Source organism: Homo sapiens, chromosome 6, assembly GCF_000001405.40.
Source record: "Homo sapiens chromosome 6, GRCh38.p14 Primary Assembly".
NCBI lineage: Eukaryota > Metazoa > Chordata > Mammalia > Primates > Hominidae > Homo > Homo sapiens.
This window is the reverse complement of record NC_000006.12, coordinates 27,911,176-27,921,996: the sequence shown is the minus strand read 5'-3', so window position 1 is coordinate 27,921,996 and position 10,821 is coordinate 27,911,176. Positions and strand designations below refer to the sequence as shown.

The following is a 10,821-nucleotide window of genomic DNA, read 5'->3' as shown; positions in this document are numbered from 1 at the left end:
CCCACCATGTTCCTAGATCAGGTTTCTAATTACCCTTCTCCACTGAAAGAAATTAGGGCTCTTTGGATAAACAGCTGATTTCAGGCACCTCTTGTGCTTAAAGTAAGAAAGTGCCTATAGAAACAAGGAAAAATGACAAAATGATATAGGAGCTGGCTTGCAGAGGTTCCCACTAGCCTAACGTGGGAAAACTTGAGCATAAAAATAAAGATAGCAATATATTACAACCAACTGAATTTAATTGAAATCCATTAGTCCATACTGCTTTAAAGTTGTAAGTAAGTCAGCATTTGGTAAAATATAAACTAATAAATACAGAGGAATGGTGGGATTAGAAAATCATCATCATTTCATAATCATTATAATAATTGATTCAGATAAGAATCAATGAAATGCTAAATCTGGGGGTAAAATTTCAATAACAAGTGTGATGTCTATACGGTTTCAAAGTAACTCTCTACAAGATACATCTCAGTTATAAATGCAAAATACTTATTAATTAATTTTATAGCAGACAAACTTAGCAGACACTTTATAAACCAGGTAATAAAAGTAAAAAAACTCAAATAATGAGACACATGGACATCAGATGCCTCTTAATATGATGAATGAGAAGATAACAGTATTTCTGTTTGTTGTATTCCTGCCAAAAATAAATAATGAAGAAAAGTCAAATGCCCCAAATTGAGAGACAACTTACTAAGTGACAGGCCAACATTCTTGAAAAATATTATGTCATGAAAGATGAGGAAAAGCTGAAGAACTGCTCCTGATGTAGGGAAACTGAAGAGACATCACAACTAAACAAAACACATAACTCTGAGTTGGATCCTAGACCAAAAGGAAAAGTTTGATTATAAAGGACACTCCTAAGGCAACTGACAAAATTTAAATGTGGTGTGTAGATTTGATGGCAGTATTGCAATAGTGTGAATTTCCTAATTGTGATGGTTATGCTGGAAATGGAGAATATTCTTGTTTGGAGGATATACACTCTGAAAACTTTAGGGGCTGTGGGCATCAGGTCCAAAACACACATAAAAGCTTCAAAAAATTCACACACGCACATGAACATATACATACATACAGGACTTGATTCTTTGTATTGAAGGCTTTGCTTTTTTGGATTTCTTATGGTGACATGGAATTAGTTGAGGAAATTATTGTTGGACTAGCCATGTTTGGAGAAAGCTTCAGCATTCCCTTTGATTTCTTAGAATACTACCCACTCTCTTTGGACTCCAGTACTAAGGGTTCATTTTAAACATTAGTAAAATTTGGTCCTTATCCCATCTCCATCACTCCTGGGAAAGTTATTATATCCAGTCTTTCATGCTTCTATAACATTTATCTGACAGAAAACACTTTGCCCACCTTGCTACTTACAGAATTTTGTTCTAATATTCGATATATTTTCTATTTTAAAATGCTAATAAGTAAATTTCTGAAAAATAAGTCCTAGTGGTAAGAAGGAAGGCATGAAAAAAAAAGAACAACAAAAATACAAAATACAAAAAAAAAAAAGAATAAAAGTAGAACAGCCATATTATGTCACCAGTTTCCTGACACATTCTATTTTAATCACCCTAAGCCTCAGTTTCTACATCTATAGCATGGAAATCGTGCATTGCTTTCTCAGACGGCACTTATGAGGACTGAGTGAGATAATCCTTTGAAAGGATGGCACATATCTGGCTAATAATAATAAATTCAGCAGATCCTTTTCCCTACTTCCAGAACTTGCATAAATGGACATCACTTCATAATTTCTAAGTTTAAGAACTTTTGAAATAATTACCATTTATGCATAATTGATTCGTTCTACAGAATATTTATATTTATTCATATTTTCTTGCTTCTTTGTTTACTTTCTTTTCAAACTATACTTTTGTTTATTTAAATTACAACCTCTTGGCCAGGCCCGGTGGCTCACACCAGTAATCCCAGCACTTTGAGAGGCCAAGGCAGGTGGATCACTTGAGGTCAGAAGTTCAAGACCAACCTGGCCAACATGGTGAAACCCCGTCTCTACTAAAAACACAAAAAAATTAGTCGGGCGTTGTGTTGCATGCCTGTAGTCCCAGCTATTCGGGAGGTTGAGGCAGGAGAATTGTGTGAACTCAGGAGGTGGAGATTGCAGTAAGCCAAGATCGCACCACTGCGCTCTATCTAGCCTGGGCAACAAAGCAAGACAACAAAGCTAGTCTCAATCAATCAATCAAACAATCAATCAATAAAACCTTTTTGAAAATATTGTAAAAAAACAAAATTCACATAGCAGTACAATTTTCCCCCTCACCATCCTCACCCTTATTCCTGGTCTTCTATTCAGCGGTAACCATTGCTGTTACATTTTTAAAAAATCAAATGTATGTGAAATCTTAATTTCTTTCTCTTTCCAGTTTTACTTCATGTTCCATCTACCTCTTTCTCTTCCTCACCCTCCTTCTCCTCCTGATACTGCTGTCTGCCTCTCTCCAAGTTACTCTTGTTAATTATCTAAGAAGTAGCCTTTCTTATTATTCTGGGAAAAAAAACAAAGGTATTTTGTTATGTAATCTCACACAGACACGCAATACAGAAAATCATATTTAGGGTGCCTTAAATAATTATTTTATAAAACTGGGACCATGTTTTGTACCTTTTTTGCTTCTTTATTTGCTCACCCAGCCATACCCCAGGAAAATATCTCCAAGCCATCTGTTAGACCTATAGTTCCTTATTTTAGATGGATGCATATTATTCTGTTCAGTGAATGTATTATTTAGAAAGTTATCTACCAAAAAACCACATTTTTCTCTATCTTTGGTCATTAAAATAACTCTACAATAAACGTCATTGCCCATGTGTCCTTAGGTACTGTTAGTTTCCTTTCCCTGGGAAAGATTCCCAGTAGTAACAGTGCTAGATTGACAATATATATAGTTTGTAAGCGACTATTGCCGTATTTCTCACCAGAAAGCCTATAACACTTTAAATATCCACCAGTAATCTGTGAGTAACTGTCTTCCTTCATCTACTTTAGCAATAAAATTCATTTATCCTTTTGTTTCTGATCTGGTGAAAGTGGGGAGCTTTATCATCATTAATATATCCTTCTTTCAGAAGGAGATGTTGAACTAAAAATATTTATCTTTCTATATTTGATAACTTGATCATATTTCCTTATATCTATTGATCATTTGAATGTGCTATTCTCTGAACTGCCTATGTGATTTATTTTCCTATTGAGCTATTTGTAGTATTTTTTCAAAATTGTTAGAAGTTTTTTCTATTTAATAGATACCAAATATTTTTTCTAGAATTATAAATGTATGTCTTCTAATTTTATTAATCTAGAAAAGAAATTTAAATGAATCTGCACATTACAGCATATAAAAAATAAAAGTATTATGTTTGGATTAAATACTCTACTATAAATAAACTTTAAACCAGGCAATTTAAGGGGCCAGATACAATTCTGAACTGAAGAAGACCTTAGAAACTAAGACTGAAAACTCAAAATCCATGAAAGAAAATATATACTAGATACACTGCTGTACATTAAGTTTTTTAAAAGCCATTTTATATAAAATATACCATAAATCAAATTAATACACTATTTTCTTGTGATAAATGGTAGCTTATTTTCTGATATAGAAATCGAAGGTTTGGGAACATGACCTCGGATTGCATCTTAGAGATTTTACATATGAAATAAAAAATTTCTTCCCTTGGGCTGGGTGTGGTGGCTCACACCTGTAATCCCAGCACTTTGGGAGGCCAAGGTGGGCGGATCACGAGGTCAGGAGATCGAGACCAGCCTGGCCAACATGGTGAAACCCTGTCTCTACTAAAAATACAAAAAATCAGCCAGGCATGGTGGCACACACCTGTAGTCCCAGCTACTTGGAAGGCTGAAGCAGAATTGCTTGAACCAGGGAGGCAGAGGTTGAGGTGAGCTGAGATCGTGCCATTGCACTCCAGCTTGGGCGACAGAGCGAGACTCTGTCTCAAAAAAAAAAAAAAAAATTATTCCCTTGGCATGTGCAGCAGCTGTGATTTAAAAAAATAATAATAATAAAAATAAAGAATTCTTTCCTGATAGAAGTAATTAATTGGCTTTAAAGAACTCATGAAATAGTTTACAGAAGAAAACTAACTCCAATTCAATAGCACAAAATTCCAGTTTTCTTTGATAAAGTATTTTAGTCCCCATTGTCATTCCTTTTGCATTAGAAAGTTGAGGATTCAGTCCCTAGAGAAAGGATTTTGCTTAGCAAATCAGTTTTAAAATAGGAACATCACTTCATAGAGATCTCCTCCCTCTCTCTTCCCACTGGGTATGCTATTAACTACTATAAACTGGGGGGGAAGAGTTTTGCAATTCAGTGATTGAGATTTCTGCTGGAGACCAAAACAAACACTAAAATCAATAGAGAAAATTCTTTTATCCATTTTGCAAAACTGACTCAACAGAGTCTCCCAAAATAGCAGTTGACACTCTAAATTCCAGGTGATGTGATGCTGCACACCACATTCCGGTTGTCTGCAATATTTCATCCTTATTCTCTAGTTAACTCTGAGTAGAGACTTCGTGACTTGCTGCATATTGAGTGGAATTAAAATAAGTCAAAAAACTTCATGAAATCAATTATACAACTAAGTGTATGAAGACGTTGTATCTGTGCACTTTAAATTAGTCCTATTTGAACTCAAGGCTTCTTAGACAAAAAAAAAAAAATTGATCTACCTCTAATGCTTAAAATGGAGGTAAGTAGAATACATTTCTAAAAATTATGAAATAAAATTACATTAAAATTTGAGTGTTCTAAGTAAGCACTCATGTTATAGTCTGTAATTCAAATCTCAGCAAAGACCAAATTATCTGCTGGAAAAATCTGACTTAGCTTCATCTTTTATGCGCTTTATTGTTATATATAATGTTATTTTGAGCATATTTGTAATCTCTATGGGAAATAAGAACTTTAGAGAAAGTCAGTCTTTTGTTCTAATCGTCAGTTTGCTGCTTACAAGACCTAGGACTTTGGGAAAGTAATTTCTTTGAGTATATAATTTCAGGTTTCTACCTACAAAATTAACCTTTTATAAACAGGAATTTTTTTATTTTACAAACTTCCTTGTACAATGTATCAGCTGTATGGAAAAAATGGTCCCATGATTCATTCTCATACTCCAGCAAAAAGATGGTATCTGGAAATCTATCTCACAGGGATATAAGAAACTTTGAGAAAACATAGAAGTAAACAGTTTTTATGCTGTGAGGAAAACAGCAACCTTATAATGTTACAGAAAATAAAACTGACGGCCAAAGCTATTAACTAACTCGCCCAATTATACAGTGACTTTGGATGGCAGATTTGGGACTAAAACTCTTGTTGCCTCTCTTGTCTCGATTTTTGTTCCACAGTGCAATTTAAAAAGATGCTTTGAAGACTCTGTTGAACCTCACCTTTTTTAATATTAAAAAATATGTGCACAACGCGCAGGTTTGTTACATATGTATACATGTGCCATGTTGGTGTGGGTGCAGCACACCAACATGGTACATGTATACATATGTAACAAACCTGCACGTTGTGCACATGTACCCTAAAACTTAAAGTATAATAATAATAAAATTAAAAATAACTAAAAAATTTAAAAATATATATATAATCAGAAAACTCAAGAGGAAGATGACAAACATAAGGTCAACCAATACACAGGTAAGAAAGGAGGTAAGGATGTGTATTCATCTAGGTAAGTATTCTAAACTAGGCGTTAAAACATTCTAAAGTGATCACAGATAAAAACTATAAAGATCCCCTCAGCAGCTTTCTAAAATTCTCTTCCATTAACTTCTGTTTTAATCCAATTGCTATGGTCTCTTTCTGATCTGCTAGATATCTCATATAATTCAAATGTTTTGTTTTGCTAGTCAATGGAATGTTCGCTATTCAAAATGAGAATAATTGTATCTGGAGATGCTGGCAATGTGATTTTATTGGAAAGCAGAGAAATCTACCACCTTTAAGACATTAGCCACAATTGCAAGCAATTGGAGCAGGTGTTAACAGGTAAGCACTCAGTAGCCTATTTGATATAATCTTAAAGATGCAGATAAGGACTTCCTAGTTTTGTTTTGTTTTGCTTTTTAGTTGTTAACAAACACTTTAATCCTAAAATTAGGGATATGAATCAGAATTTAAATTACATAAAATGTCTGAAATACAAAAGGATACCACAGCTATTTAAAGATACCCTTTTAAGAGTGGATAAATATTTGAGGTAACTGTGTGTTTAGAAGATGAGAAAGTATGCAAAGATAAGTAAGACAGAATATTAGAATCCAGTGCTCTGAAATCTCCGGCTTCCTCCCCTCACTGCTTTCTGGCTGCATTATTGTTATTCAGCTCCAGGGCTTCCTACTAGAGTGATAAATATTTCCCCCCTCCTTGTGCCCTTACTACAGAATGTGAGGGGATATTACATAACAGGATACACTAATATATTATATTGATGAGAAAGCAGTTTATTTATTTTGTAAGGACTGAATCTCAGAGTGAGGCAGTCAATTAATTTAAAAAGAGTCAACGGATTCTCTCCTTCTTCTATAATCCTCAGTGAGAGGGCTTTTTGGTAAGGCAGTCTTTTAGCTGATTTCTAAGGAGAAAAGTCAGACAGAGGGCCTGGTCTGACTTTATATATATATATAAAATTACTAGTAAGATACAAAATGCTCCTACAATCCATCCTTTAAAAAACTCTTTGTACATTCAGACTGAATTTTAAGGAATTATCAAGAGCTAAAAAAATTACATATCTTATAATATTTTCACCCTCATGGAGATCAAAGTCTTAACTAAAGCAATGTTTGTCTGAAAGTAGAATACAGAGAATAAATTGGTCAGCAGAGTCATTTGAAAAAAATATATTACAAAAGTAATGCCTGCTTATTAAAAATTTGAACAAAAAATAGGTAAATTTATAAGTAAAGTCTGCTTTACTCACCCCCATTTTGATTTCCTAGGAGTAATACTTTCTTCTATATTATTCAAGGTAGCTTTTAGTTTATATATTAGTATATATATTATACTAATATTATATTCTTTTTATAAACTGATGGAATCATGCTATACAAATGTTCAGTAACTTCCTTTTTTCACTTAAAAATACCTTTGAGTATCATTTCTTATCCACATCTATGACTACAAATCTCAAATTTCTTTTCAGGTGAGAGTCAAGGAGACATTTTTTAGGGAACTAGTGGTTCTAAAATAAGTAGAAAAATTAAAATTCACATTGCTAACATTTTGCCGAACATGAATGAAATTGAAAAACAAATATTCTGATATTGATAAAGTAATAAAATAATTAAGTGTCCCATTAAGATTTTGGGGGGGATGAATACATGTTTAGCTGGTAGAGTTGGCATATTAGTCCCTCCAGGAAATTTATGAGACTGAATAGCCTCTACTCAAAGCATCTCAGAGTTCCTGCAGAACTGTTGTACTGTCTCTGACACAGCTGTGCATCCATGTGCCAAGCACTCTGCTAGGCAATTTACACTAAAGATCACATTTATACTCACATCATACGCTTACTATGACCCCCTCTTGTTGGAGTTGATGTTTGCGGGTTAAGAAGGAAATCAGATGTTGAGTTTTAACAGGCATAGTCATTTCCATTAGTAACCCTAGGAAATTTAAAGTTCTAAAAATCATAAGTAATTCCTTTCTGAGCACCTCAGACCTTGGATCACTATAGTTCCTTTCATCCACTCTTCTCCATTTCTAAAGGTGTAAGTCTAGGGTAGGTGTGTGCGTTAATACCTCACATCATTTATACTTCACATCAAGACAACTTAGAAAAACATTACAGTAGTCCTTCCTTATCTGTGGTTTTGCTTTGCACAATTTCAGTTACCCACAGTCAACCATGGTCTGCAAATATTAAAAGGAAAATTACAGAAGTCAACAATTCATAAGTTTTAAATACATGCCATTCTGAATAGCCTGATGAAGTCTTGTGTTGTCCCACCCAGTCATGGGAATCATCCTTCTGTTTAGAGCAGGGGTGTCCAATCTTTTGGCTTCCCTGGGCCACATTGGAAGAAGAAGAATTGTCTTGGGTCTCACATAAAATACAGCAACACTAACAATAGCTGATGAGTTTTTTTTTAATCATCAGTGAATGTCATGATGTTTTAAGAAAGTTTACAAATTTGTGTTAGGCCACGTTCAAAGCCATCCTGGGCTGCGTTCAAAGCCATCCTGGGCTGCATGCAGCCCGTGGGCCTCAGGTTGGACAAGCTTGATTTAAAGCATCCACCTGCCTGTTAGTCACTGAGTAGCCATCTCGGTTATCAGATCGTCAGAACACAGAGGGGTGAGTACACTAGAATAAGGTGTTTTGAAGAGAAAAAAAGAGAGGGACACCACATTCACATAACATGTATTACAATAAATGGGGGTCTGGAGCTGTTATACTTGCTGCATTTTATTAATTATTGTTCTTAATCTCTTACTGTGCCTAATTTATAAATTAAACGTTATAGTTGTGTATGTATTAAAAAACATAGTATATATAGGGTTTGGTACTACCCACAGTTTCAGGTTTCTATCCACTGGTGGTCTTGGAATGTATCCCCCATGGATAAAGGGGGAACCACTGTATCATCTTCATTTTACAAATGAGAATTGTGGAGATCAAAGGGTTAGAAGCATTCCAATATAATGAATGTAACTAATTAGAGAGGGTAGGGATATGAGACCAGCCTGTCACCTTCAAATATCATATTACTAAGGAATCTATACAAATTCTATGAGCTTCTAGAACGAAAAGGATATGTCTCCTTAAATTGTGTCTGATAACTTACTAGATACTGTCTACATGGCTTTTTTGAGGGAAGGGGAATAATGGGAGGTGGCTTTAACTAATGTTAACTGATTTCTACAATCAGGGAATCTCGCTGGCCTTGAAGAGAAATTAGAATGAATTCAAATGACAGGAAACTGTATCTACATCTACCTCACAGTAGATATCTAGGTAGGAAGAATGAGAAAAATACATTTACAAACAGTAAAATATCAAAGGATACATTATGTGAATTTGGAAACTGAAAATATGGCTTAAGATTTTTGAAATTAGGCTGGGCACAGTGGCTCACGCCTGTAATCCCAGCACTTTGGGAGGCTGAGGTGGGCAGATCACCTGAGGTTGGGGTTTGAGACCAACCTGACCAACGTGGAGAAACCCCATCGCTACTAAAAATACAAAATTAGTCGGGGTGGTGGCACATGCCTGTGATCCCACCTACTGGGGAGGCTGAGGCAGGAGAATTGCTTGAACCTGGGAGGCGGAGGTTGCGGTGAGCCGAGATGGCGCCATTGCACTCCAGCCTGGGCAAAAGAGTGAAACTCTGCCTCAAAAAAAAAAAAAAAAAAAAAAAAAAAGATTCTTGAAATTCGATTCAATTTGCTAATATGCTGTTACAGATATATAAACACTTTTTAAATACTTGGATGGATAAATATTTATATTTTTATCAATACTTTTTTCACATTATTAATTGGATCAGTCTGTAATTTTATGTAAATTGATAGCAAAATGATTATAGCTGACAAAATCAGGAAGTGTGTTGTTAACTTCCTGACTTCTTATATTTCAGAGAACGAAGAGTTGAACCATTTAACATGAATTGGGTAAATAAGAGTGTCCCACAGGAGTTCATTCTGTTAGTTTTCTCAGATCAACCATGGCTAGAGATTCCACCCTTTGTGATGTTTCTGTTTTCCTATATCTTGACAATCTTTGGCAATCTGACAATAATTCTTGTGTCACATGTGGATTTCAAACTCCACACCCCTATGTACTTTTTTCTTAGCAATCTCTCACTCCTGGACCTTTGCTATACCACAAGTACAGTTCCACAAATGCTGGTAAACATATGCAACACCAGGAAAGTAATCAGTTATGGTGGCTGTGTGGCCCAGCTTTTCATTTTCCTGGCCTTGGGTTCCACAGAATGTCTTCTCCTGGCCGTCATGTGCTTTGATAGGTTTGTAGCTATTTGTCGGCCTCTCCATTACTCAATTATCATGCACCAGAGGCTCTGCTTCCAGTTGGCAGCTGCATCCTGGATTAGTGGCTTTAGCAATTCAGTATTACAGTCCACCTGGACACTTAAGATGCCACTGTGTGGTCACAAAGAAGTGGATCACTTCTTCTGTGAAGTCCCTGCTCTGCTCAAGTTGTCCTGTGTTGACACAACAGCAAATGAGGCTGAACTATTCTTCATCAGTGTGCTATTCCTTCTAATACCCGTGACACTCATCCTTATATCGTATGCTTTTATTGTCCAAGCAGTGTTGAGAATCCAGTCTGCTGAAGGTCAACGAAAGGCATTTGGGACATGTGGCTCCCATCTAATTGTGGTGTCACTTTTTTATGGTACAGCTATCTCCATGTACCTGCAACCACCTTCACCCAGCTCCAAAGACCGGGGAAAGATGGTTTCTCTCTTCTGTGGAATCATTGCACCCATGCTGAATCCCCTTATATATACACTTAGGAACAAAGAGGTAAAGGAAGCCTTTAAAAGGTTGGTTGCAAAGAGTCTTCTTAATCAAGAAATAAGAAATATGCAAATGATAAGCTTTGCTAAAGACACAGTGCTTACTTACCTTACTAACTTCTCCGCAAGTTGTCCTATTTTTGTCATTACTATAGAAAACTATTGTAATCTCCCTCAAAGAAAATTTCCTTGACAAAAAGCTATATTTGTTTCTGTTGCCTAAACATTTTCATTGAACAAGCCCCCAGAATTGGCCTTCCAAT

The 10,821-nt window shown here is 35.5% G+C and overlaps 1 protein-coding gene across 1 annotated transcript; it reads left to right on the top strand.

Annotated features, from left to right (window-relative positions):
- The first annotated feature begins 9,600 nt into the window (after positions 1-9,600).
- On the top strand, positions 9,601-10,812 carry OR2B2 (olfactory receptor family 2 subfamily B member 2). Its single transcript, NM_033057.2, has one exon. The coding sequence runs from the start codon at positions 9,678-9,680 to the stop codon at positions 10,749-10,751; it is 1,074 nt and encodes a 357-aa protein (NP_149046.2). The 5' UTR covers positions 9,601-9,677; the 3' UTR covers positions 10,752-10,812.
- The last annotated feature ends 9 nt before the right edge of the window (positions 10,813-10,821 follow it).

Bases quoted from the DNA above. Each gene is read 5' to 3' on its own strand.
- OR2B2 (NM_033057.2), top strand. From the start codon at position 9,678: ATGAATTGGGTAAATAAGAGTGTCCCACAGGAGTTCATTCTGTTAGTT.